The 27,814-nt window shown below is 45.0% G+C and overlaps 1 protein-coding gene, 1 long non-coding RNA gene and 1 pseudogene across 8 annotated transcripts, besides 5 other annotated features; 1 reads left to right on the plus strand and 2 right to left on the minus strand.

Moving 5' to 3' along the window:
* Window positions 1-10,836: 10,836 nt before the first annotated feature.
* TMEM14B-DT (TMEM14B divergent transcript) lies at window positions 10,837-15,097 on the minus strand. Of its 2 annotated transcripts, none has more exons than NR_187231.1 (2): window positions 14,974-15,097; window positions 10,837-11,827 (listed from the first exon to the last, which is right to left on the minus strand). It is a non-coding gene; the product is annotated as a TMEM14B divergent transcript (long non-coding RNA). The 2 variants fall into 2 exon arrangements; NR_187230.1 differs by lacking the exon at window positions 10,837-11,827 and adding an exon at window positions 13,951-14,742.
* Window positions 14,878-14,927: an enhancer, noted in NCBI's record as "active region_23972". NCBI's record gives its function as "activates an Ori minimal core promoter by ATAC-STARR-seq in GM12878 lymphoblastoid cells {active_cell/tissue: GM12878}" and the evidence as "EXISTENCE:reporter gene assay evidence [ECO:0000049][PMID:35858748]".
* Window positions 15,048-15,277: a silencer, noted in NCBI's record as "silent region_16905". NCBI's record gives its function as "represses an Ori minimal core promoter by ATAC-STARR-seq in GM12878 lymphoblastoid cells {active_cell/tissue: GM12878}" and the evidence as "EXISTENCE:reporter gene assay evidence [ECO:0000049][PMID:35858748]".
* Window positions 15,048-15,347: a biological region, named in NCBI's record as "ReSE screen-validated silencer GRCh37_chr6:10747832-10748052".
* Window positions 15,112-15,332: a silencer, noted in NCBI's record as "fragment chr6:10747832-10748052 (GRCh37/hg19 assembly coordinates)". NCBI's record gives its function as "represses an EF-1alpha promoter that drives an FKBP-Casp9 reporter gene in an ReSE screen in HepG2 liver carcinoma cells {active_cell/tissue: HepG2}" and the evidence as "EXISTENCE:reporter gene assay evidence [ECO:0000049][PMID:32094911]".
* On the plus strand, window positions 15,272-27,287 carry TMEM14B (transmembrane protein 14B). 6 transcript variants are annotated; one of them, NM_001286488.2, is made up of 6 exons: window positions 15,318-15,394; window positions 16,715-16,781; window positions 17,135-17,211; window positions 18,646-18,747; window positions 22,655-22,745; window positions 26,452-27,287. In NM_001286488.2, the coding sequence occupies exons 2-6, from the start codon at window positions 16,759-16,761 to the stop codon at window positions 26,612-26,614; spliced, it is 456 nt and encodes a 151-aa protein (NP_001273417.1). In that variant the 5' UTR covers window positions 15,318-15,394; window positions 16,715-16,758; the 3' UTR covers window positions 26,615-27,287. The 6 variants fall into 6 exon arrangements, 5 of the variants coding, with proteins under 5 accessions (NP_001273417.1, NP_112231.3, NP_001273418.1 ...); NM_030969.5 differs by lacking the exon at window positions 26,452-27,287 and adding an exon at window positions 23,980-24,494; NM_001286489.2 differs by lacking the exon at window positions 18,646-18,747.
* Window positions 15,288-15,347: a silencer, noted in NCBI's record as "silent region_16906". NCBI's record gives its function as "represses an Ori minimal core promoter by ATAC-STARR-seq in GM12878 lymphoblastoid cells {active_cell/tissue: GM12878}" and the evidence as "EXISTENCE:reporter gene assay evidence [ECO:0000049][PMID:35858748]".
* RNA5SP203 (RNA, 5S ribosomal pseudogene 203) lies at window positions 20,304-20,439 on the minus strand (annotated as a pseudogene).
* Window positions 27,288-27,814: the final 527 nt, after the last annotated feature.

Below are 27,814 nucleotides of genomic sequence, written 5' to 3' on the forward strand. Positions count from 1 at the left end.
CTTTATGTATTTGCATAAGCCCCTTGAAAGTGGTCCTAGTTTTCCATCCTTTTTTATAGGACACTGAACAACTAAGGGCACTTGTGTTGGAGTGATAGAGGCATCAGAAGGCCATAGACCATCCAAACCTACCATCCTCCCAGGCTTCCATAGCTAAGAGTTTGAATCATGTTGGCCCTTTCATGTGTCATGCAGTGTTGCCAAAGGGCACACATTTTTGCCACCTTCAGTCCTAGAGGAGGACCTGGCTCCTGAATGACAAGGTTCCCTGAAGGTGGGATTAGTTTAGGTGCCAAGTAGACTGTAACTATTTGGTCCCCAGCAATCAACCTGGAAAATTCTAAGGCTGCCCACAGATGAGAGGCAAGAGGTCTTCATAGCTCTTGCCAAGTCCCCTTGTCCCTGCTTCTCTGCAAAAATCCCTGAATATTTACTATCGTTAAGGGTTGTACTGGGTCCTGGTGGGTCCGGAATTGGTTCCTTCCAGTACACTCTTGGTGTTGCCAACTTCAAGAATGAAGCCTTAGACCCTCGAAGTAAGTGTTACAGTTCCTAAAAGATTGTGAGTCCGGAGTGTCTTTCTTCTGGTGGGTTCGTGGTCTCGCTGATTTCAGGAGTGAAGCTGCAGACCTTCGCTGTGAGTGTTAACAGCTTTTAAATGTGGCGCGACCAGAGTTCATTACTCCCTTGCGGTTTTGTAGTCTCCCTGACTTAAGGCGTGAAGCCGCAAACCTTCAGTGTTACAGCTCTTAAAGGTGGCGTGCCCAGAGTTGTTCTTTCCTCCCAGTGGGTTCGCTGACTTCAGGAGTGAAGCCAGACCTTCGCACGGAGTGTTACAACTCTTAAAAGCGGCACGTCTGGAATTGTTTGTTCCTCCCCATGGGTGCGTGGTCTTGCTGATTTCAGGAGTAAAACCACAGACTTCTACGGTGAGTGTTACAGCTCATAAACATAGAGCAGACACAAAAACTGAGCATCAGCAAGATTATAAAGATCAAACTACCCACAGGAGGGAAGAGTACCCAAGCTGCTGTTGGCTCCGGTTGCCAGGTTTTATTCCCTAATTTGGCCCTGCCCACATGCTGCTGATTGGTCCATTTTTACAGAGTGCTGATCCGGCGTTTACAAACCTTTAGCTAGACACAGAGTGCTGATTGGTGCGTTTTTACAGAGTGCTGATTGGTGTGTTTACAAACCTTTAGGCACAGAGCACTGATTGGGTGTTTACAATGCTTTAGCTAGACAAAAAAGTTCTCCAAGTCCCCACCAGACCTGGAGAGCAGCCGGCTTCACCTCTCACTAGCAGTGCAAAGAACAAGCCATGGTGCTTGCCCTTCTGGAGTCTAGTGGAGGAGATGGACATCTAAACAAAGGCAGTATAGAAATAAGTGTATAATGGAGGTAGATCCATATTACTGTGGGGGCACAAGGAGGGGAGTGGGCATTTCTGTTAGGGAGTCAAGGTAGGCTTCACAAAGGAACCAATAGTTAAACTGAGTCTTGTCAGTTGATTCACGAGTCAGTTGACGTGCACTCCTTTTGTGAGTTGTCTATGAGGAATTCACAGACAAGGACAGGGCAAATGTCTCAGGTAGAGGGAGCAATATATACTGTGCCTCAAAGGCATGAAACTAGGTATTACAACTGGGTTCAACCCTTTCCTTAGAGATCTAATTCTTTTTAATGGCTTTTAAGTTGTATAGATGTTTACTACTTAGTTTACCATTCTCCTACTCATAGAAATATGTCTTATTTAATACCTCTGATAGCCGGGCGCGGTGGCTCATGCCTGTAATCCCAGCACTTTGGGAGGCCGAGGTGGGTGGATCACGAGGTCAAGAGATCGAGACCGTCCTGGCCAATATGGTGAAACCCCATCTCTACTAAAAATACAAAAATCAGCTGGGTGTGGTGGCGTGCACCTGTAGTCCCAGCTACTCAGGAGGCTGAGGCAGGAGAATCACTTGAACCCAGGAGGCGGAGGTTGCAGTGAGAGGAGATTGCGCCACTGCACTCCAGCCTGCTGACAGAGCAAGACTCCATCTCAAAACAAACAAACAAACAAAAAGAAAACCGGCCGGGCACAGTGTCTCATGCCTGTAATCCCAGCACTTTGGGAGGCCGAGGAGGGCAGATCACAAGGTTAAGAGATCAAGATCATCCTGGCTAATATGGTGAAATCCCATCTCTACTAAAAATACAAAGAATTAGCCGGGTGTGGTTGCACGCCCCTGTAGTCCCAGCTACTTGGGAGGCTGAGGCAGGAGAATCGTTTGAACCCTGGAGGCGGAGATTGCAGTGAGCCGAGATCGCACTGCACTCCAGCCTGGGAGACAGAGTGAGACTCCGTGTCAAAAAAAAAAAAAAAAAACAGATGGTTTACCAAGGAATATCTTTGGAAATCCCCGTGAACATGTGCAAAGGAATCTGTAGGTTACATTCCTAAACGCTGTGTCAGAGCATCTCAGCAGTTCAAGTTGTGATTGCCCTCAGAAGAAAATGCACCAATTTACCCTACTTCCAGTGGTGGCTAACTTTGTGGAATTGGACTTTTTAAAAATCTTTGACACATGAAGCTAGGAGTCTGCAAACTTTTTCTGTAAAGGGCCAGATATGAATATTTTAGGCTTCGCAGGCCATCTTTGTCCCAGCTGCTCATCTCTGCCTTTGTAGGATGAAAGCAGCCATAGCCAATAAGTAAATAAGCAAGGGTGACTGTTCCAATAAAACTGTACTTATGGGCCTTGAAATCTGGATTTCATATGATTTCTACATATTACAAAATAGTAATCTTATTTTTATTTTCTTCAACCATTTAAAAATGCAAAACCGTTCTTAGCTTGCTGTCTGCACAAAAACAGGCAATGGACTAGAATTAGCTCACTGACCATAGTCATGCCACCCCCGATCTACCCAAAAAATGTTATCTAATGGTTTCAGTGATTTAGTTATGAATTATTACATCTTTCATACATTTATTGACCAGTTATATTTTTTCTGTGAGCAGTCTTTCATCCCTTTTGTCCATGTTTTTGGTTTTTTTGTTTTTTAATTGAAAACATTGGATAGTCTGAGACTTTCTATGTAGTATAAAAATGTGTTCCCTATCATATGTATTGAAAATATTTTCCTCTCACTTGTTATTTGTGTCTCGATTTTGTTTATGTGTTTTTTTTGCCGTTGTACAGAAAGTAAACATTTATGAAATCAAATTTATTATATTTTCTTTATGGCTTTCAGATTGAAACCACTATTGCAATTTTTTTTTTTTTTTGAGACGGAGTCTTGCTCTGATGCCCAGGCAGGAGTGCAGTGGTGCCATCTCGGCTCACTGCAACCTCCGCCTCCCAGGTTCAAGCAATTCTTCTGCCTCAGCCTCCTGTGTAGCTGGGACTACAGGCACGTGTCACCACGCCTGGCTAATTTTTTGTATTTTTAGTAGAGATGGGGTTTCACCGTGTTAGCCAGGATGGTCTCGATCTCCTGACCTTGTGATCCGCCCCCCTCGGCCTCCCAAAGTGCTGAGATTACAGGTGCGAGCCACCCCGCCTGGCCAGCATTGCAAAATTATAACTGAGACAGTGAAAGAGATCTGACCTAACCAACGCCATCTTGCTTCTACCGTCCAAGCTGTCCTTGTTCATTCTGGTGTGGGCTGAACTAACTGTGGGAAGAACTTAGTTTATAGTTTATTTATTCAATTTTTTCTGAGTTGGAGTCTTGCTCCATTGCCCAGGCTGGAGTGCAGTGGCACGATCTCAGCTCACTGCAACCTCTGTGTCCTGGGTTCAAGGGATTCGCCTGCTTCAGCCTCCCAAGTAGCTGGGATTACAGGCGCATGCCACCATGCCTGGTTAATTTTGTATTTTTAATAAAGACGGGGGTTTCACCATGTTGGCCAGGCTTGTCTTGAACTCTTGACTTCAAGTGGTCCACTCGCCTCGGCCTCCCAAAGCGATGGGATTACAGGCGTGAGCCACCATACCTGGCCTGAAATTATCTTATTTTCTTCCAATGCTTTTATAGTTTTATCTTTTAGGTTTCTATTTTTAAAATTTATTAATTAACAAATAATTGTCCATATTATGGGGTACAATGTGATGTGATGTTTTAATCTCTGTATGTATTATAGAAAGATTCAATCAAGCTAAGCTGTCATATTACCAAATTACCATTTCTTGTGTGGTGAGAGCACTTCTATTTTTAATGCTACTTTAGAATTTATTTTTGTGTGTGATGGTGCAAATTAGGGATCTGATTATTTTCTCCAAAATATAGCCATTACCTTAATATTATTTATTGAAAAATGTTAATTCCTCATTGCTTTGGAATGCCACTTTTACCATGTGCTGAATTTCTGTATTTGGAATTGATTCTGGGTTTTCTAGCCTCTTCCAGGGATTTCTTTATTTTCTGTCCCAGTGCCAAATTGTATTAATTACTGTAGCTTTGTACCATATGCTGATATTTAGTCGGACAAGTCTGTCGTTGCTTTTCAGATTTTTCCTGACACAGTAACTTTACAAGCTAAATCTGGAATTAGCCTTTCTGCTTGTTTGTTTTTTTATTTTTTTTCCTTTTTTGTTAGAATTAGCCTTTTAATTTTTAAATTTTACTTGGGATTTTATTATGACACATTGATAGATAATGAAGGAGATTGAAAGCTTTAAAATATTTCCTCTTATCCAGGAACATTGTATGTTCCTTCATTTAATTCAGGTGTTTTGTTTGTTTGTTTGTTTGTTTTGAGACAGAGTCTTTGTCTGTTGCCCAGGCTGGAGTGCAGTGGCGTGATCTTGGCTCACTGCAACCTCCGCCTCCTGGGTTCAAGTGATTCTCCTCCCTCAGCCTCCCAAGTAGCTGGGATTACAGGCGTGCACCACCACAGCTAGCTAACTTTTGTATTTTTAGTAGAGACGGGGTTTCACCATGTTGGCCAGGCTGGTCTTAAACTCCCAACCTCAGGTGATCCACCTGCCTCAGCCTCCCAAAGTGCTGCGATTACAGGTGTGAGCCACTGCACCCAGACTTTTTTTTTTTTTTTTGAGACAGTGTCTCGCTCTGTCGCCCAGGCTAGAGTGCAGTGGCATGATCTCAGCTCACTGCAACTTCTGCCTCCCAGGTTCAAGCAATTGTCCTGCCTCAGCCTCCCAAATAGCTGGGATTACAGGAGCCTGCCACCACACCTGACTAATTTTTGTGTTTTTAGTAGAGGCAGCATTTCGCCATGTTGGCCAGGCTGGTCTTGAACTCCTGACCTCAGGTGATCTACCCACCTCAGCTGGCAAATGGATTACAGGCATGAGCCACCACACCCGGCAAGTTCAGGTTTTTTAAAAAATGTCCTAAAACAATATTTTAGAGCTTTATTCACATAGTACTTTACACTTTTAGTAAGATCGTGGATTATTTTATAGTTTTGTGGTATTTTGAATTTTTTGTATTTTATAGTATTTTATAGTTTTGTTATTATGAATGGGTACTTTTTCATGTATTTTCTAACTAGATATCAGTCTGAACAAAATGAATTCCTGACGTTAATATTGCTGCTTCTGTCACCTCACTCAAGCATATTACTTGCTTTCGGTTTTTATGAGCTACTTTTTATCTGATTCTATGGCTTTATGTTAAAGTTAGAAATAATAGGATGTTTACTATCACTGGCAACATTCAACATAGTTCTAGAGAAATTAGACAAAGCAATAAAAAAGATAATTTGAGAGGTATAAATTAATAGTAGAAAATAACTTAAACATTTTTAACAGCTGATAATTATCTATCTGGAAAATCCACGAGAAGCAACTAAAAACCGATTGGAACTAACAGAGATCTTTAAAGCAGCAAGAAACAAGATCAACACTGAAAACGAATAGCTTTCTATCAATAGCCATAATCCATTCTCTCCCATAATATTGCTAATGTCCAAGTCCAACCCTTTCTATCTTTTACCTGGTTATTTAAATAATCTTCTGCAAGGAATACTTCTTTTCATGCTATGGCCCTATAAGTCATTCTTTACCCAGCAGGCAGAGGCATAGCTCAAGTATAGACTTCTAGACTTAAAACTACTCAATGGTCCCTGACTACACTTACATTTCTCTTTTAGCTCTTATAACATCCTGTTCTTTTTCTTAATAGCACTCGTCACAATTTGCAAACATACATGTTTTTGTGTGTTTATTGAATATCTGCCTCTAGAATAAATGTTGTATAAAGGCAGGAAAAACAACACTTTTGTTACTACCATATATACTTAGAACACAGTAGGGAATTTAGTAAGTCTTTGCTGAATACATTGATCAAATCTACTGGGTGTTTTTTTTGTTTGTTTGTTTGTTTGTTTTGAGTCAGAGTCTTGCTCTGTTGCCCAGACTGGGGTGCAATGGCATGATCTCGGCTCACTGCAACCTCCATCTCTCAGGTTCAAGTGATTCTCGTGCCTCAGCCTCCCAAGTAGCTGAGATTACAGGCACCTGCCACCATGCCTGGCTAATTTTTGTATATTTAGTAGAGACGGGGTTTCACCATGTTGGCCAGGCTGGTCTTGAGCTCCTGACCTCAGGTAATCTGCCCACCTCAGCCTCCCAAAGTGCTGGGATTACAGGCATGAGCCACCGCGCCCGGCCAATGGTAAGTATTTGAATATCTAAACATAATTAAGCACAGAAAATGGATAGTAAAAATATGGTTTTATAATCTTACAGTATTCGCATCATAAACGTGGTCTCTCATTGACCAAAAACATAGTTAATGTGGCACATGACTATATATTGAGTGATTTCTATTGAATTCTGGACACATTTGTGTTATGTTATGAGACACTGGCTCTTATTTATTTTTTAAGACAGAGTCTCGGCCGGGCGCGGTGGCTCACGCCTGTAATCCCAGCACTTTGTGAGGCTGAGGCAAGCAGATCACGAGATCAGGAGATCAAGACCATCCTGGCTAACACAGTGAAACCCCGTCTCTACTAAAAATACAAAAAATTAGCCAGGCGTGGTGGCGGGCGCCTGTAGTCCCAGCTACTCCAGAGGCTGAGGCGAGAGAATGGCGTGAACCTGGGAGGCGGAGCTTGCAGTGAGCCAAGATCGTGCCACTGCACTCCAGCCTGGGCGACAGAGCGAGACTCCGTCTCAAAAATAAAAAATAAAAATAAAAATAAAAAGAGTCTCTATTTGTCTCCCAGTTTGGAGTGCAGCGGTGTGATCTCGGCACACTGCAACCTCCGCCTCCTGGGTTCAAGCGATTTTCGTGCCTCAGCCTCCCGAGTAACCGGAATTACAGGCGCACACCACCACGCCTAATTTTTGTATTTTTAGTAAAGACGAGGTTTCACCATGTTTACCAGGCTCGTTTCGAACCGACCTCAAGTGATCCGCCTGCCTCGCCGTCCCAAAGTGCTGGGATTACAGGCGTGAGCTCCGGCCTCTGGCTCTTATTTAAACCTTTTGTTTTAACTGATTTTCTCTGACACTGCTATGGGAAGGGAAGAAGGATGCTACTGCCAGATGGAAGTAGGTGACTTTTGGTGACACATGAGGTTCTCTGCTTGACCTCCAGTGACACCCAAAGAGTGGGGGCTTATTAGTGACAGGTGGTCTGGGAGCTGTGGCTTTCCTTGTGGTCTCTATTGGCTCCACATTGGGGAGGGGACTTGATACCAGCCACTGGGAATGAAACAACCAGCTCCCTACTTACTGTCCTGTGAGCATGGGTCAGAGTGGGGCTTCAGTTTGATGTGTGGTTTGGCTGCAGCAGAGTGGTCACTGCCTGAAAGTTTTGCTAGGCTGCTCCTTGTGTGGTCCTTTGGCTAGAAAGAGCAGGATTTTTGTTCATGCACTTTTTTATTATTATTATTTGGTCCATGCCTGTCCATTCTGCTAGGTTTTCTTTTTTTCTTTTTTTTTTTCCTTTGAGACTGAGTTTAGCTTTTGTTGTGCAGTGGTGTGATCTCAGCTTACTGCAACCTCTGCCTCCCGGGTTCAAGTGATTCTCTTGCCTCAGCCTCCTGAATAGCTGGGATTACAGGCTCCCACCACCACGCCCAGCTATTTTTTGTATTTTTAGTAGAGACGGGGTTTCACCATGTTGGCCAGGGTGGTCTTGAACTCCTGACCTCAGGTGATCCACCCGCCTCAGCCTCCCAAAGTGCTGGGATTACAGGCAGGAGCCACCACGCCTGGCTGGCCATTCTGCTAGGTTTTCACCTTTTTTTTTTTTTTTTTTTAGGCTTTGTCTCGCTGTGTCGCCCAGGCTGGAGTGCAGTGGCATGATATCGGCTCACTGCAACCTCTGCCTCCCGAGTTCAAGCCATTCTCCTGCCTCAGCCTCCCAAGTAGCTGGGATTACAGGCATGAGCCACCATGCCCGGTTGGTTTTCACATTTAAGTCTGGGATATATAAGGGAAACAATTTTAGGGAACTTACCATGGCATTCCTGAGTCCCAAGATCCCTGACTGGTCAGACTTTTCTCCACCTTTCAGAGCCTTCTTATGTGTCATCTATATATGATGTCCAGGGTTTTTAGTTGCACTTAGTGAGAGAGGAAAGTACGTCTACTCTATCATCCCAGAAAAGCAAGTTTCTGAATATGATTTTTAGATGGAATAAAAATGGATACAAATGTAATTCCTCTTATGCCATTCTCCCTAGAATCAATGTAGGATCACCTTATGATAATGAAGTTACTTGAGGCTGGGTGCGGTGGCTCACACCTATAATCCCAGCACTTTGGGGGGCAGAGGGAGGTGGATCACCTGAGGTCAGGAATTCAAGACCAGCCTGGTCAACACGGTGAAACCCGGTGTCTACTAAAGATAAAAAAATGAGCCGGGTGTGGTTGCTGGCGCCTGTAATCCCAGCTGCTTGGGAGGCTGAGGCAGGAGAATTACTTGAACCCGGGAGGCAGAGGTTGCAGTGGGCCGAGATGATGCCACTGCACTCCAGCCTGGGCAAGAGTGAGACTCTGTCTCAAAAAAAAAAAAAAAAAAAGCGACTTGATGAAGCTTCCATGTTATTTAATTCTACTCAGTTCCTAGGGAATGCATATTACAGCAAAGTTGAGTATAATGCAGATATTCCTGAGAGGTGAAGCCGACTGGGCTTCTGGGTCGGGTGGGGACTTGGAGAACTTTTCTGTCTAGCTAAAGGATTATAAACACACTAATCAGCACTCTGTGTTTAGCTAAAGGTTTGCAAACGCACCAGTCAGCACTCTGTGTCTAGCTAATCAGGTGGGGACTTGGAGAACTTTTGTGTCTACCTAAAGGATTGTAAACGCACCAATCAGCACTCTGTAAAACGGACCAATCAGCACTCTGTAAAATGGACCAATCAGCAGGATGTGGGTGGGGCCAAATAAGGGGCCAAAAGCAGGCCACCCGAGCCAGCAGTGGCAACTCTCCTATCAGTCCTGTTCCATGCTGTTGCAGTTTTCTTCCTTTGCACTTTGCAATAAATCTTACTGCTGTTACTGCTGGTTACTGTTTGGGTCCTCACTGCCTTTATGAGCTGTAACACTCACTGTAAAAGTCTGCAGGTTCACTCCTGACACTAGCGTAAATGACAAGCCCATTGGGAGGAACGAACAACTCTGGAGGTGCCATCTTTAAGAGCTGTAACACTCATTGCAAAGGTCTGCAGCTTCACTCCTGAAGCCAGCAAGACCATGAGCCCACAGGGAGGAATGAACAACTGTGGACGTTCCGCCTTTATGAGCTATATAACACTGACTGCGAAAGTCTGCAGCTTCACTTCTGAAGCCAGCGGGACCATGAACCCACAGGGGAGGAATGAACAGCTCTGGATGCACCACCTTTAAGAGCTGTTAACAGTCAACGGCGAAGGTCTGTGGCTTCACTCCTGAGGCCTGTGCAGGTCACTGAACCCAGCGGAAAGAAGAAATTCCAGACACATCCAAACAGCTGAAGGAACAGACTGTGGACACACTATTTTTAAGAACTGTAAACACCGTGAGGGTCCGTGGCTTCATTCCTGAAGTCAGCGAGACCAAGAACCCACCGGAAGGAACCAATATTTGGACACATTCGTATCAGCTGTTTAAAATTCTTGGTGGGGGCCGGGAGCTGTGGCTTAACGCCTGTAATCCCAGTACTTTGGAAGGCTGAGGTAGGTGGATCACGAAGTCAGGAGTTTGAGAACAGCCTGGGCAATATGCTGAAACACCTGTCTCTAGTAAAAATAAGAAAATTAGTAGGGCATGGTGGCATGTGCCTGTAATCCCAGCTACTTGGGAGGCTGAAGCAGGAGAATCGCTCAACCCGGGAGGCAGAGGTTTCCGTGAGCTAAGATCGCGCCACTGCACTCCAGCGTGGGTGACAGAGCAACACTCAGTCTCAAAACAGAATTCTTCATGGGACATTTAACTGAAAGGCTTAAACTGGCTTAAGTCTATTTTAAGACACGGGGTCTCTGTCACCTTTTGCAGTGGCATGATTATAGCTTCCTGCAGCTTTGAACTCCTGGGCTCAAGCAATCCTCCTGCCTCAGCCTCCTGAGTAGCTGTGACTACAGGCATCCACCATCACACCCAGCTAATCTTATTTTTTTTGTAGAGACTGGGTTTCATCATGTTGGTCAGGCTGGTTTCGAACTCCTGACCTCAAGTGATCTGCTTGCCTTGGCCTCCCAAAATATTGGGATTACAGACATGAGCCACTGCGCCCAGCCAGAGGGTGTTTTTTTAATGTGGCATTTGAAAATAAAAAGTTGGAATATACATTTGTTTTTGGGAGTATTCAATACTTTTAAGGAAGATTAATATGTTTGTGAAATACAGGGGAAAGCTTTTAGTACAAGTTAAGTATAGATAAATCTTAGTTTTTAAAACATAGGCAGATTTTATTAGATGTGTTAAGTAGTAAGTAGAACATGTGTTAGACACAGAAAGGAATAGAAAGTCCAGGATACCTAACATTCCTAGCTACCAAGTATACATGAGACACCTGAGCATGAAATATTTGATACATTAAATGTCCAAGAGGCACTAAATACAGTGCATAAAATATACATAAGCATGAAATAGTCATGCTATTCACTTCTGTCCCCAAGTGTCCTCTGTCCAAGAAACACAGTAAAACCCATGGTTGCTCCACAGGCCAACAGGCAAAGCTCAGCTCTTTGCTAGGCTTGCTTGTACCTGCATCTCGGACAGAGCAAGTTTGTGTCATTGGCGTGGGGCACCTTGCCTCTTTGAGTCTCCTTGCTCAAACCTGTCGTCTTCAGCACCACGATCCACAGGAAAGTCAATATCACAGAGAGGGGTGGAGGTTGGGGCAGGTGGGGGATGGTGGCCCCTGAACATTGTATGAGGTAGGCTTTAGGTAGCAGGCATCTTCCACCAGATTTGCACCGTCTCTTGACAGCGTTTACTTATCCCATCTCTTTCCTCTTGCTTTTCACTGTCTCTTTAAATTGATTTAAATAAACTAAGAGATTCAAGCATTTTAATTTGATCTGTGAGCTTTTCTGCTCACTGATCTCTGAGGTAGTATACCTGGAGGCCATCGCATTTCCCACATGATAACAATTCATATCAAAATACGGAATCCATTTGGGGAAGTCAGGTAGATTGCTTCCCTTTTCTTCCTGAGAATGGATAGTCTGCATATAGTCTTAGCCGTCCATGTGTTGAATGATCAACTTTTCTATTTATGTAGAACAGGTTTTAATCACACATACACTCCTTCCTGATACAATTCCCCATGTGTAAGCATCCATCTCCACCTTCCTTGCTCCATTGTTTATCCGACAGCCATGAAGTGAGTGCTCACCATGTGTGCCAGGTGCTATCCTAGATTCTGAGGGCTAAAAGGAAAAACACAACCCTTCTGAAAGACACAGCTTTGGTAAATAAATTAACATATTGAATGCAATGGCCTGGGGCAGTCATGGGCAGCTTGACTGATTAGTGAAATGTTGAGTTTTTGAATGACACAGGGCCCATGATGTCAACTCAATTTTTCATTTTTCTTTTCTTTTTTTTGGAAATGGAGTCTCCCTCTGTCACCCAGGCTGGAGTGCAGTAGAGTGATCTCGGCTTACTACAACCTCTGCCTCCTAGGTTCAAGCGATTCTTCCATCTCAGCCTCCTGAGTAGCTGGGATTACAGGCGTGCACCATCACACCCGGCTATTTTTTTTTTTTTGTATTGTTAGTAGAGACAGCGTTTCACCATGTTGGCCAGGCTAGTCTCGAACTCCTGACCTCAGGTGATCCATGTGCCTCAGCCTCCCAAAGTGATGGGATTACAGGCGTGAGCCACCGCTCACAGCCTATTTCAGATTTTAAAAGACTCTTCACTGCAAGAAACAAATGCAACTCTGGATGTCCTAAGCTTCAACAGAGGACGTGGGGGTAAGTACATGAGAAGGACACAGGTGTATCTGGCTGAGGCCAAGGCAGGAAGAACCAGAGCCAGGGTACAGCCAGGGCAAACTGTACATGTGGCCTTTGTTCTCCTGTCTGCCGACCACCCCTCTCATTTCTCACTCCACATCTACTTGTCCATTCAACACATGTTTACTGAGTACTGGTTATGGGCCAGGCACTGTGCTAAATGCTGCATAAATATCATCACTCCCATGAAACAAACATGCAAAAAAGGGGGAGGTAGGCTCTACGATGATTAAGCCAGTTACAGAGCAGGTTAGCAGGGAATTGTCATGGAAGGAAAGATGCTGTCGGGGGAAATGCAGATGAGTTGAAGTTTTAAATCAGGTGATTAGGGAAGGTCTCTCTGAGAAGTGACATTTGCGTAAAGACAGAAAGGAGGAGAGGGCGTGAACCAGGAGATTGTCTGGGGAGGCGTTCCAGGCAGATGAAGCAGCTGAGGGCAAGAAGGAAACACAAGTGAGGGGGAAAGAGAAGATGCTGATGTCAGGGAGGAGGATGTGTGGGGCTTTGCAAAGCACTGCCTGAGAAAAGGGGTGCCACCAGAGGGTTTTGGGGAGAGAAATGGCACAGTCAGACTTCTAACCCAAGTGCTCTGGTCACTGTGTTGAGAACAGACTAAGAGACAGAAAAAAGACTCTTCACTGCAAGAAACAAATGCAGAGTTAGGACAGCTCTGCCATTTGCTGTGTGACCTTGTAGTCTGTGCCTCAATTTCTTCCATGTGTAAAGCAGGAGATAATCATAGTCGTCACTGCACAGAGTTGGTATGAAGTGTAAGTTAGTTAACATATGTAAAGCGCTTCCAACAGTGGCAGATAATAAGAACTGCATATGCTTCTGCTAATATTTTTATGGCTCCAATGAATATGATCCAGAAGTAGATGGCAGATAGGTTAGGTTAAGAAAATAGGCGGTTTTTTTTTTATGATTTCATTTATTTCTTGGGGAAAGAGTTATTGACCTTGCTCTTCAAACAAACCTATAAAATACTCCCAAAGATGTAGAAATTGGTATTGTAGACACTTGATAGACATGAATTACCTGGGCAGACTGCAACTTGGGATTTGTTTTTGACGTTTTTGTTCAGGGACTTCTTAATTTGTAAAGTCAACACATTCAGGCTCCAAAAATGCTAAACTAATGCTTACATTGAAGCTCAATTCCCTTTCTTCATGAGCTCTTGTGTTGTGGGAGATGATCTCTACTGCTCTTGCTGTGTGAGTACACACCTGTGTGTGTACCTGTGTTTGTCTACCAGACACAATTCTTACTCAAAGCCTCTTTGTGGGAAAAACAAAACAAAACACCCAAACCTACTGATAGGCCTCAGTGACCAAAGACTAGAAACTTAACATTCCCTGACATAATTTTGATTACACCCTTTTGACACATTTGTGTTCCAGGGTTCCGATAATTCAGTGGGCCCCCAGTGAAGAGCTAAGCTATCTCCTAACAACGTTAATGCCAACTAGAAATATTCCCAAACACAAATCATTGATTGTTTTACTCTGGTACTAATTGAAATAGAGCAGAAACCAATTTCTTTAATTTATTTTATGACATGTTTTGATGGACTTTACCTACACAGAAGAGCTATGTGTTCTGGTTGAGGAACGACACTGCAAGAAGCAGCATATGGTAGAATTAAGGACGCAGGCTTTGACATTAGACCTTACTTTAAATAATAGCTCTACCAGTGACCAGGACTGTAGGTAATTTAATTCTCTGAGGTTCAGCCTCTTCAAGTATAAGGTGGGGAAGGGCTCGAGGATCATGGTGGATGATCCTAATTAAGGTTTGAGGCTTGCACCTGCATAGGGAAGAATGAGTCCCTAAAGCCATTCCCTGCTGGTTAAGACAAGTCTCATTAATTGTTCAGGAAAGTCTTCAATTAAATTGAAGGTCTGGCATACTGCAATTCCTGCAAGTTCTTAGTTATTATCAGCTCTGGCTGGTTAGAAGCAGCTATGATAAACACGGGCTTCAATTTAGCTATCTGGAAGGTAGGTGCTGCTGCAAGTGGAAAGTTTGTCTTTAAGAATATGCGCTGCAATTTGCTTTATTCACTGATGATTATATTGATCGGAGTTGTCTATGTTGATACTTGTAGGGGATGAAGGAGAGGGAGAAGTCAACGATGACAGCAAATTTTAGTGTAGAGCAACTGAGCGAATGGTGGTGCAGGAAACACAGAAGAGGAGCGGCTCGGAAGTGGGAATGGAGATAACATCATACTGTGGACATTCGGAATCCACAGAGCTGCGTGGAAATCAGATTTAACTTGCTCTCTCTCCCCATTTAAGATGCTTCTCAAGTAGCCTCACTCCCTAAAACAAACGGATATTTGGCATTGCGCCACATTATTCTGCAGCTGCCATATTTTCTTGCAGGTGGAAGGCAGGCCCTTCCTGGTGTAAACAAACAAGATCGGGCCAGAGTGACAATCCTCCCTGATGGCCCGCACCTGGTTTATACCCTCTATTAATGGGGTCCTTCAAAATCATCAGATGCCCTCCTCCCGCAGCGGTGGCCTCCACCTCTGGCCTGGCCCAGCTTACGTGGTCCAGCTTGTGCAAGATCCAATTCCAACTCCGGGTTTCCGGCTTTTGGCCACTCAGGATTGGACCTGGGACTGGAGCTGGTCGGCCCTGCAGGTGCTGGGCCTGGGGACTGAGGAAGCACAGAGATTCCCCGCCCGGTTCCCCGCCAACGGCGCTAGCCGCGATGCCCCGCCTCACTCCCCGCCCCCGGGATGCAGGGCGCGTGCTGGTAATCCGCGGCTCAAGCCCCGCCCCCACTGTCCCCATTCTCCGCTCACCTCTCTCCAAGGACACTGCGCACGCGCCACGACGTCCCGCCTTTCTCCCCGCCCTGCCGCGGCCCCGGGGCGCAGCGCGCACGCAATCGCGTTTCCGGAGAGACCTGGCTGCTGTGTCCCGCGGCTTGCGCTCCGTAGTGGACTCCGCGGGCCTTCGGCAGGTCGGTGCAGGTCTTTGGAGAGTATTGTTTTTATTTTCTGCCACTTTTAACTTTTAGGGATTATTTAGGAGTTTCACGGCCGTCTGCTTTTCGTCCCCCCGATTCAGCGGGCCTTTATGCCGTGTGGTCGGTGCTTTTCTCCTTGGGTATTTTCTGCTTGTCTTAAAAGAGGCTGTGGATGCTCGGAGCACCTGAGCTCCTGAGGCAAAGGCTTACCCTTGTAGCATAGTGTTGCCTCGTTTCCTGGTGGTTTTGTTGCTCCAGCTCTTTAAAAGCCTCCCTTACTCAGTGCCGCCTCGAGTTAAGAACTGTGGGCAAGATCCCAAGCCCGCTGCCCTTCCCCGTTTTATGGGAAATTAATTCTTTCTTTTTTTGGGGGGTGGGGAGGGGTTCTCGCTGTGTCGCCCAGCCTGGAGTGCAGTAGCCTGAATATGTCTTATTGCAGCCTCTGCCTCCTGGGCTCAAGCCATCCTCCCACCTCAGCCTCCCAAGTAGCTGGGATTACAGGTGCATGCCATCATGCCCGATTTGTGTGTGTGTGTGTGTGTTTTAATAGAATATGGGTTTCACCATGTTGACCAAGCTGTTCTCGAACTCCTAACCTCAGGTAATCCGCCTGCCTGGGCCTCCCAAAGTACTGGGATTACAGGCGTGAGCCACTTTGCCTGGCCTAATTCTTTAAACAGAATAAACGGCGTATGCATTGCTTTCCATCTTGTTAGGTTCACTGCATACAGAATACTTTTCTGTAAGAAAATAGGAGCTGTTTTTCCAAGGGTGCAATGTCACATGTGATTCTGACTTGAGTTTCCGTGTATTTTACCCTCCCCTTCTGCCCTCCTAACGAGAACTGTGAGTTGGATGCAGAAGTTTCTAAAAAAAAAAATTGAGTATTGAAATTGGCTGTTGCATCAGTGAAGAAAAGCAACATCCCTACCACCCCTCAAAAGAGACATTAAAGTAGTTGGATTAAGGGCACGGGAGTATTTGCTTTCCGATTTAGTGATAATGTGAGTGCTTAATGAAATGACTAACACATTCCCTGATTATAGAGCTGGTCAGTGGATCTTGCTGAGTTTCCTGTGGACCTATGTGAAATGATCGGCATCTGTTCAGGGTTTACTAGGTGCTAAGCACCTTTACATGTGACATCCATTGAATGCTCACAACACCCCCAGGAAATTGGTACCAGTGTTATCCTCATGGTACAGTGAAGGATACTGAGACTTAGGTTGCATAGCCTGCAGGTTGGACACACTTCTTTCTGACTGCTGGGGAGCTGTGCTTTTAACCACTGCTGATCCGGCTTGTTTTCCCCAGATGCAGGCCTGGGGTAGTCTCCTTTCTGGACTGAGAAGAGAAGAATGGAGAAGCCCCTCTTCCCATTGTGAGTAGACAGTAAATGGTTAGAGAGTAGCCAGGAGCTTCTGGAAACCAGAGTTCCTTTCCTCAGCTGAAAAGAACCCTAAGAGTAGACTGCCTGGGATGGCGTGCGGGATGGGAGGATCACTGGACCTGTGGGCCAGAAACTTGGGTTTGAGTCCCAGCTCTAGCTTTGCTTAGTTGTGTGACTCTCAGAAAGTCATCCAACCTCTGTGGTGCTTATTTTCAGTGATAGTACCTGTGGGCACATAGGACCTGTGGGGAATGATTACCTTTTAGCCCCATCCTATGACAATATGGTTTGTTTTTAAATCCAGGTTAGCACTGACTTCTCACTGACTTCTCTTGTGTTTTCAGAGTGCCTTTGCATTGGTTTGGCTTTGGCTACACAGCACTGGTTGTTTCTGGTGGGATCGTTGGCTATGTAAAAACAGGTAGGGTTTTGTTGTTACTTAGCCTCTTAACATCTTCACGTTGTTCCAGTGAAATGTGAGTGCCTGTGTCCCTGAGAAGCAATCTCGTTTGACTCAGCTTTGCTGTAGGTCCCCAAGCTGGAGTGCAGGCTTCCTTGTCAGTCTTGCAGCTCCTGCCCTTGCCTTTTGCTTATCTGGTGAAGCTGAGCCAGGCCTCTTGTGGAATTACTTATTTTTGCCTCTTTATCTAAAGGTAGGCAGGGGTGGTTGTAGTTTGTTATTATCATTGACTGCCATTCATCAGCCATGACCCCCAAGTGCCATCTCTGGGCTTAAGTAGGAGTCAACCTCTGGCCTACACAGACTGGTATTTTGAAGTTTCCTCATTAGGCCAGGCAGGGGTGTGTCAGTGGCTGTGCTTGTTTTTGCCCCCTAGTCCTTGCCTGCATTCCCACCCCAATCCCTGCACCAGACTTCTTATTCTCCTGATCTTCTATTTTTTTTTTAACTGCCTGGCCCTATTTCCTTCTGCTTTTGTGATTTGCTGGAGGTCCTGCCTGTACACAATTCCAGCCCTTCATGGTTGATGAGGCCTGATTAGAAAGTGTTGTACTTGAGCGAGTTAGAGAAAACGCCACACTTTGAGACGAATTAAGAGTCTGTTTATTTAGCTGGGGCCTAAAAGACGGCTAACACTCAAAGTTCTCTCGGCCTTGAAGAAGGGGCTAGATTTTCTTTTATACTTTGGTTTAGAATGGGGTGGGGGGGGGGTCTAGTTAAAACAATTTTACTGAAGTAAAGTAGGCAAAAAAGTTAAAAGGATAAATGGTTACAGGAAAGTAAACAGTTCCAGGTGCAGGGGCTTTAAGACTATTACAAGGTGATGGACGCGGGGCTTTGGGCATTATCAATCGGACGAATTCCTGGGAACTGCGGATATAGCTCGCCACAGTATCTTATCAGTTAATTGCATTCTTGGATGTGCTGGGAGTCAGCTTGCACAAGTTAAGTCCTTGAGGACGGGGCTGCCAGTGAAAGAGCCAAGATGGAGTCTGTCTGGCTCTCTTAGCTAAGGAAGAGTCAATTCAGGTGGAAACAAGGCTAGGTGATTAAAGGAAAGGGAGAGTCTAAAAACAGGGTTAGTAAAAACAAGGTTAGGCATTACAAAAGAAGGCCTAGTCATAGTTCTGTCTAAGGAGGGAAGATGGCCTTCTTTCCTTTCCTTAGATGGAAGTGCCCTGCCTATTAGAGGAGAGAAAAATGGGGTGGGAAGACCCTGACTTCTCTGAGAAGATAGCACACTCTCCTTAACGCCTTCCTGCTTGAGTCCACCTTGGCTGTGAGCTGTGTTGAGAGTTCTTTGTGCTGTCCTTTGTAGGGCAGGAGGTCTGGTGGATTCCGTTAGTGAAATAAGTGCCTGACATTACAATGCAAGCTGCGTTTGCTTCCTTCTAGGCAGCGTGCCGTCCCTGGCTGCAGGGCTGCTCTTCGGCAGTCTAGCCGGCCTGGGTGCTTACCAGCTGTATCAGGATCCAAGGAACGTTTGGGGTTTCCTAGGTATGTCTGCTTCAGCGTCTCCTTAGGGCAATCATGTATCTGGAATATTCTTTTCCAAAAGACCCTGGTTTGGTGGGATGGAGCGAGTTCTTCCCACTTAATTTACGACAGTTTCACTGCTTCTCCAAGTCCAAGTCCTCAAAGTTTTAAAATAGGAGAAGGGTGGTGGGAATTGTCCTGGTTCCTGTTTATTGTTTATGTAGATAATATGGAAAGATTTCCATACCTTGTGAATTGTGTGACTCTCAGAAAGTCATCCATCCTCTGTGGGCCTTATTTTCAGTGTTTACCCAGTAGAATTAGTATCAAACTTGTATTACCCATATTTACCCAGTAAAGTCAGCATTAAACTTGTATAAGACAAATATGTGTCAACCGTTGAGGTTTTCCGCTGAAGACCATTGGCCTCAGTATCACTAAAATATCACGTATCTGGGTTAGGTTTGCAGCTGCGTTACGTTTTTCACATTTGAAAATCACCTCTTTAGCAGTCAGCTAACTAAATATATAAGACGTAGACCATGCTTTCAAGGAGCTTTCAACTGACTTCACTGGGGAAGTAAGACATGAGCATAGAAGCAGGACTGGAAAGGTACCCTGTGAGCAGCACGGACAGTGAGGACAGTGAGTGGTGTGGAGGACATAAGAGTCCTCATCAGAGTGGTTTTCAGTACATTTCTGTGGAGCTCCACCCATGTGTCAGACACTGCTATGAGTGTGGGTTCCTTGCGGTCTCTACAAACCCCGTGTGAGAATGAGTGCCATGTGGGAGGGAGAAGCCGTGTGATCTGTACATATCAGCTGGGGTGGGGAAGGGAGGTCCGTGATGGCTAATGGGGTGTGCTGGGGAAGGAGGTGTGTCCAGGTCCCAGCTCTGCCTAACAGCTCCCTCCCTCATGCTCCAGAATGACTTGAGCCTGCATTTTCCCTTTCTCTGATCCTACTCCACTCAGCAAATGACCTCACACCTATTGTAGAGAAAAAACAGCAGCCATCAGGTGGGGACTCCTGGAGCCTTTAATCTCCAAGCCTCCCCTCGTCCTGTTTCCCTCCTTTCCAACACCAGTGTCTTCCTCTGGGCTTTGGGTGTCTTCTCCCTGACCGTCTCCAGACCTTTACACTGGCCAGGATCCTGTCTTGTATTTGTATTCCTCCTTTTAGGTGGATCCCCGCATTGATATTCAGATGTGCTTGTCTCCTTCCCCTTCATAAACTACCTTTTTTTTTTTTTTTTTTTTTTGAGACGGAGTCTCACTGTGTTGCCCAGGCTAGAGTGCAGTGGCGCGGTCTTGGCTCACTGCAACCTCCGCCTCTTGGATTCAAGTGGTTCTCCTGCCTCAGCCTTCTAGGTAGTTGGGATTACAGGTGTCTCCCACCATGTCAGGCTAACGTTTGCATTTTTAGCAGGTGCAGGGTTTTTGCCATGTTGTCTGGGCTGGTTTGGAACGCCTGACCTCAGGTGATCTGCCCACCTTGGACTCCCGAAGTGCTGGGATTACAGCCATGAGGCAGCACGCCCAGCCAAGAGGGAAAGAGGGAGGGAGTGGGAGGCCAAAAGCCTACAGCACCTGGTGTTTCCCCGAAGGTGGGGTGGTAGTCTCCCATCCAAGTACCATGCAGGACCGGACCGACCCTGCTTTGCTTCTGGGATCAGACAAGATCTAGCACATTCAGGGTGGTATGGCGGTAGACCACAAACTTCTTAAAGATCATTTATGCAGCTGGGCGCGGTGGCTCACTCGTATAATCCCAGCACTTTGGGAGACCGAGGCAGGCGGCTCACCTGAGGTCGGGAGTTGGAGACCAGTCTGACCAACTTGGAGAAAGCCCCATCTCTACTAAAAATACAAAATTAGCCGGGCTTGGTGGCTGTCACCTGTAATCCCAGCCACTCAGGAGGTTGAGGCAGGAGAATCGCTTGAACCCGGGAAGTGGAGGTCGCGGTGAGCCGAGATGACGCCACTGCACTCCAGCCTGGGCAACAAGAGCGAAACTCCGTTTCAAAAAATAAAGATCATTTATGCCTCCTCTCCCATCACACATGATCAGCCCATTTCAGTCTCTGTTTCTGTCCCTGTGTTTGTGGAATAGCTCTCCCTGAGGCTGCCAGTGACCTGTGTTTGTACAAAATCCAATGTACATTTTTCAGTCCTCATTTTACTTGGCCATTTAGCAGTTCTCAGCACGGTTGACCAATCATTTTCCATTCTCCTGGTTTCCCTTTTTATCCTCTCATTCTCTTTTGGCAACCTATTTTCCTTTTTGGCCACTAGATATTGAAGTTCTTCAGGCTCTTCTTGTCTACTCACTTGACAGTTTCATTGAAGCCTATGCCTTTAATTTCCACCGATACACAAATGACACAAATTTCTCTCTCCTCCAGGCTGGACTCTCATGTATTCATCTGTCCACTTTCCTTCAGATGTCTCCAGGAATCTGCCCGGACCTAACCTCATGGCCACACACTCCCCCTGTCTTCTGTTCTCCATCCATTCGGTTCTTGATTGCTCTCTTTCCTTTCTACCACCCCCTTTCTGACTAATTCATCAGCAGGTCTTGTCGACACTACCTCTAGCCCTTATCCTGAGTTGTCCTCTTTTTCATCTGCACAGCCATCGTCCTAGTCCCAGTTATCCCCTCTTTCTTACCTGCATTCCCAAGGACGTTCCTTAGCTGGTATCCCCATGTACCCTCTAGTTTCCCTGAAGTTTGTTCTCTATAGTATAGCTAGAATTACGCTTTCAAAATGCAACTCTGGGCCGGTTGCGGTGGCTCCTGCCTGTAGTCCTAGCACTTTGGGAGGCCAAGGCAGGCGGATTGCCGAGCTCAGGAGTTGGAGACCACCCTGGGCAACATGGTGAAACCCGGTCTCCACTAAAATTAAAAAAGGCTTCAGCATTGCTTGAACCTGGGAGGTAGAGGTTGTAGTGAGCTGAGATCATGCCACTGCACTCCAGCGTGTGTTGCAGAGTGAGACTCTGTCTCAAAAAATAATAATAATAATGCAACTCTTTTTATGCATCCCTCTGCTTAGTATCCTTTAATAGCTTCTCATTGCTCTTATGATGAAAACCCAATCCTTAGTATGGCCTTCAAGGCTCTATGTGGTCTGGCGCCTCTTACTCACAAACTGCATCTTGACTTCTGTGCCACGCTGCCCTTTTAGGGTGAATGTGCCATGCTCCCTGTCACCACAGGGCCTCTGCATATACTGTCCCCTCTGCCTGGAAAGGGCATTCCCATCCTTCAGCTTATTAACGCCTGCTGTAATTTCAGATCTCAGTCAGTCTTCACTTCCTTGGCTAAAAGCCTAGCATGATCTCCCTGAATAGGTTGATCCCCCTGTTGAGCTTTTTTGTGTAGCATCAATTATACCTGAAGCACACATTGTACCTTGTTTTTCTTTGTGTGATTGTTTAAAGTCTTGTCCCATCAGACCTGAAGCATTGTAAAAGGGCAAAGACAGTTACGATTACTTTTGTATTCTCCAGCTCCTAGCACAGCGCTTGACATGTAGTAGGTGCTTTGACAGATACCCAGTGGGAATTGCATGCAGGGTAGAGGAAATAGCGTCTGCAGGGCGATAGCATCTGCAGGGCATGAGAAACAACAGCATTTTGGAGAAAACTAACACATTGATGGCTAAAGTGTGGGTTTTGCAGAAGACAAGTGGTAAGAGATGAGGCTGGAAGGGCAGGTAGGGCCCAGGCTGTGAAGGGCCCTATTTGGCCAGTATTGGTATTTGGACCCATAGGATGTGGGCAGCTAGTAATCTCCCCTACTTGGGGAAGGAGGAATAAGCATAGGATGAGGCGTGAGCCTTGAGAGATTGGTGGGGCTTGGTCTACTTCTGATTCCCCTGCGTAGAAGACTAATGAGTTTTGACCCTTCTTTGTATCTTTTTCAGCCGCTACATCTGTTACTTTTGTTGGTGTTATGGGAATGAGATCCTACTACTATGGAAAATTCATGCCTGTAGGTTTAATTGCAGGTGCCAGGTACTTTCATTCTATTACTCTTCTTTACCATGTAGAGTTCAGTTTATTGCCCAGAATACTTTATGCATTCAAAACCTTACTTGTTTCAGAGTATCTGATGCTATGCATCAACTGACGTTTGACTTATACACTAATAGGAGATGCTTCAAAAACAATAGTTGATTTAATGTCAAATGACATGAGTATATCCATTCACTGTGGAGATGGCTTTGTTCTCTGGTCCTAGCTCCTTCCTATATGGTGGCAGAAGTTTTATTGCAAAGCTATGACTGCAGCCTTTTGTGTGACTTGCGGAGGATGTGTGGGGGTCCCATATTTCTTAGGTGTGTAGGTGTCTTTTGTAGAAAATTTTGCTAAAAGGAAATTTTGATTGAATCCTGTTTTCTAATTTTGATTATAATACCTAAACCAAATTGTGGTTTTTAAAAAATGTAGTTGTAGGCCAGGCACGGTGGCTCACACCTGTAATCCAAGCACAGTGGGAGGCCATGGCGGGCATATCACTTGAGGTCAGGAGTTTGAGACCAGCCTGGCCAACATGGTGAAACTCCTCTCTATGAAAAATACAAAAATTAGGTGGGTGCGGTGGTGCACGCCTGTAATCCCAGCTACTCGGGAGGTCGAGGCAGGAGACTTGCTTGAACTGGGGAGGCGGAGGTTGCAGTAAGTTGAAATCGTGCTGCTGCACTGCAGCCTGGGCAACAATGAGTGAGAGTCTGTCTCAAAAAAAAAAAAAAGTTCACTTGTTAAGTATGATAAAGACATCCTGAAGGCAGGGGAATTTTTAAAATCCTGTTTTCAAGAAAGATTACATACTCTACTCTGATCATAGTCGTGATGCTGCCAGTATAATATTTTATACCTGAAGCAAAAGAGTCAGTATGGAGCAAGGTCTAGAACAGTAAACTGAGAGGCTGGAGTCTACCATAAATCAGATCTGTGATGGTGGGGAGGCCTTGCTTTCTCTTGCCTCCATTTCTTCATCTCTTCAAATTACTGGCAGTTGGATTAGGATCTAGCTCATGTGTGCTATTTTAAGACCTCAGTGAAACTGTCCCTTGGCTTGCTTTTTCTCTGGTTCCCCCAGGGATGGAAATTTTACCTCTGACCACTCTTGCCTTAGTACCTCCTCCCCCACACAGTTGTGAGGAACCTGCAGAGTTTAGTTCCTTAAAAACATAGTTGCCTGTTCTATCCTTTACCTGATGTTTTCTATCTTACTTGTTTTAAACAGTTTGCTGATGGCCGCCAAAGTTGGAGTTCGTATGTTGATGACATCTGATTAGCAGAAGTCATGTTCCAGCTTGGACTCATGAAGGATTAAAAATCTGCATCTTCCACTATTTTCAATGTATTAAGAGAAATAAGTGCAGCATTTTTGCATCTGACATTTTACCTAAAAAAAAAAAGACACCAAATTTGGCGGAGGGGTGGAAAATCAGTTGTTACCATTATAACCCTACAGAGGTGGTGAGCATGTAACATGAGCTTATTGAGACCATCATAGAGATCGATTCTTGTATATTGATTTTATCTCTTTCTGTATCTATAGGTAAATCTCAAGGGTAAAATGTTAGGTGTTGACATTGAGAACCCTGAAACCCCATTCCCTGCTCAGAGGAACAGTGTGAAAAAAAATCTCTTGAGAGATTTAGAATATCTTTTCTTTTGCTCATCTTAGACCACAGACTGACTTTGAAATTATGTTAAGTGAAATATCAATGAAAATAAAGTTTACTATAAATAATATTTCCTATGGTGTCTTCATTGCCAGAGCTGGTCTAGTTCATAGAATGAGATGTTGCTAGATATAGAAACTTGAAAGTATTTTGTTGATATTTAGAAATTACCTATTTTGAGTAATTTAAGGACCAAGGAAAGTTATTTGATTGTACATTGCATTGAAGCTTGTTTCAAAAATGATCTCTGAGGATTTTTTTGTTTGTTTTTTAAGAGACAGGGTCTTTCTCTGTCACCTAGGCTGGAGGGCAGTGGTACAATCATATCTCACTGTAGCCTCAAACTCTTGGGTTCAGTCATCCCACTTCAGCCTCCTGAATAGCTGGTACTACTGGTGCATACCACCTCGCTAATTTATTTTATTTTTTTGTAGAGATGGGGTCTTGCTCTGTTGCTCAGGCTGCTATCAAACTCCTGGTCTCATGCGATTCTCTCTCCTTGGCCTCCCAAAGTGCTGGGGTAATGAGCATGGCCACTGAGGATTTCTAAGATTTAGGACTGTGTAGCAAAAAAAGAAGAAGAAAAAAAGTGGTTTTTTTTGTTAATTAGTTCATATATAATTGTGAAACTAGAAGACCCATCTAGAGCTTGAATCACCTAGTTTGGGCTCTACATTGGACACATTTACTGGATACTGGTACGTTTTTAGTTCACTTTATTCATGTTTCAACATGAAGAATTAACTCAATCTGGTGCCCTTTGTTTTAGTTTTCATTCCCTCTTTAAAAAGGTAAGGAGCTGGGCGCGGTGGCTCACGCCTGTAGTGCCAACACTTTGGGAGGCCGAGATGGGTGGATCACCTGAGGTCAGGAGTTTGAGACCAGCCTGGCCAACATGGTGAAACCCTGTCTCTACTAAAAATTCAAAAATTAGCTGGGTGTGGTGGCTCATGCCTGTAATCCCAGCTATTCAGGAGGCTGAGGCAGGAGAATTGCTTGAACCCAGGAGGCTGTGGTTGCAGCGAGCCGAGATCACGCCACTGCACTCCAACCTGGGCGACAGGGTGAGACTCTGTCTCAAAAAAAAAAAAAAAGATATTTGCTACTGATTTACCCTAACTGATACTGGTTGAGTTTAGAGTATAATTCAGACACTTTATGTATTTGCATAAGCCCCTGGATGGTGGTCCTAGTTTTCCATCCTTTTTTATAGGACTCTGGACAATTAAGGGCTCTTGTGTTGCAGTGGTAGAGGCATCAGAAGGCCACAGATCATCCAAAGCTATCATCCTCCCAGGCTTCCATAGCTAAGATTTTGAGTCTCAACGTTGGCCATTTTTTCATGTGTCATGGAGTGTTTCCAAAGGGCACACATTTTTGCCACCTTCAGTCCTAGAGGAGGACCTGGCTCCTCATGAATGACAAGGTTCCCTGAATGTGGGAATTAGTTTAGGTGCCAAGTAGATCCCCATGTGACTATTTGATCCCCAGCAATCAGCCTGGAAAATTCTAAGGCTGCCCACAGATGAGAGGCAGGAGATCTTCATAGCCCTTGCCAAGTGCCCTCATCCCTGCTTCTCTGCAAAGATCCCTGAGTATTTACTGCCTAAGGGTTGTGCTGGGTCCTAGCAGTGCAAAGAACAAGCCATGGTGCTTGCCCTTCTGGAGTCTGGTGGAGGAGGTGGACATCTAAACAAAGGCAGTATAGAAATAAGTGTATGATGGAGGTAGATCCATATTACTGTGGGGGCACAAGGAGGGGAGTGGGCATTTCTGTTGAGGGAGTCAAGGTAGGCTTCACAAAGGAACCAACAGTTAAGCTGAGTCTTGTCAGTTGATGCATGAATCAGTTGACATGAACTCCTTTTGTGAGTTGTCTGAGAAATTCATAGGTAAGGACGGGGCAAATGTCTCAGAGCGAGCAATATATACAGTGCCTCAAAGGCATGAAACTATGTAGCATAACTGGGTTCAACCCTTTCCTTAGAGATCTAATTCTTTTTTTTTTTTTTTTTTTTTTTTTTGAGATGGAGTATGGCTCTTGTTGCCCAAGCTGGGGTGCAATGGTGCGATCTCAGCTCATTGCAACCTCCACCTCCCAGGTTCAAGCGATTCTCCTGCCTTACCCTCCTGAGTAGCTGGGATTTCAGGTGTGCACCACCACACCCAGCTAATTTTTTGTATTTTTAGTAGAGATGGGGTTTCACCATGTTGGCCAGGCTGGTCTTGAACTGACCTCAGGTGATCCACCTGTCTTGCCTCCCAAAGTGCTGGAATTACAGGCATGAGCCACCGCACCAGGCCAAGATCTAATTCTTTTTAATGGCTTTTAAGTTGTACGGATGATTACTATTTAGTTTACTATTCCCCTACTGATAGAAATATGTCTTGTTTAATGCCTTTGATAGCCGGGAGCAGTGGCTCATGCTTGTAATCCCAACACTTTGGGAGGCTGAGGTGGGCAGATCCCCTGAGGCCTTTGATATTACAAAGGATGGTGTACCAAGAAATATCCTCATGGAAATCCCCGTGAACATGTGCAAAGGAATCTGTAGGTTACATTCCTAAATGCTGAGTCAGAGCATCTCAGCATTTAAAATTGTGATTGCCTTCAGAAGAGGATGCACCAATTTATCCTCCCACTAGTGGTGGCTTTGTGTAATTGGACTTTGTAAAAATCTTTGACACATTAAGCTGGAAGTCTGCAAACTTGTTCTGTAAAGGGCCAGATAGTGAATATTTTAGGCTTCTCAGGCCATCTGTGTCCCAGCTGTTCACCTCTGCCTTTGTAGAATGAAAGCAGCCACAGCCAATCAATAAACGAGTGTGACTGTTCCAATAAAACTATGTATGGGCCCTGAAATCTGGATTTCATATGATTTCTACATATCACAAAATAGTCTTATTTTGATTTTTTTCAACCATTTCAAAATGCAAATCTATTCTTAGCTTGCTCTCTGCACAAAAACAGGCAATGGACTAGAATTGGCTCACTGACCATAGTCATGCCTGTAAGAGTTAAAGAAAGAAGAAAGAAACATGAAACGTGGCTTTGTAGTCAAAGACAGGTTTTCTTTACTTAAAACCTGAGAGGCTTCCCGGCTAATTTCGGTTAGGAGCACTTTCTCTTACAGACCCTGCACTTGATGGATCACCTGGCACCGCCCAAATTGATAAACTGGCTCATCTGATCTTGTGGCCCCCATCCAGGAACTGACTCAGTGCAAGACAACAGCTTGCACTCCCTATGACTTAATCTCCCACCGGACCAGTCAGCACTCCTGAGTCACCTGGCTGCCCCTGGCACACCAAGTAACCCTTAAACACTTCAATCCTTGAATGCTCTGGGAGACTGATTTGAGTACCAATAAAACTCCAGTCTCCTGCACA

The sequence above is a fragment of the Homo sapiens genome, chromosome 6 (assembly GCF_000001405.40).
Source record: "Homo sapiens chromosome 6, GRCh38.p14 Primary Assembly".
In the NCBI taxonomy this organism is placed as follows: Eukaryota; Metazoa; Chordata; class Mammalia; order Primates; family Hominidae; genus Homo; species Homo sapiens.

Coding starts and splice junctions, on each gene's coding strand:
- TMEM14B (NM_001286488.2), top strand. CDS start 16,759: ATGGAGAAGCCCCTCTTCCCATT. Junction 18,748..22,654: donor GAACGTTTGGGGTTTCCTAG/GTATGTCTGCTT, acceptor TATCTTTTTCAG/CCGCTACATCTGTTACTTTT. Junction 22,746..26,451: donor GGTTTAATTGCAGGTGCCAG/GTACTTTCATTC, acceptor TTTTTTTTTGAG/ATGGAGTATGGCTCTTGTTG.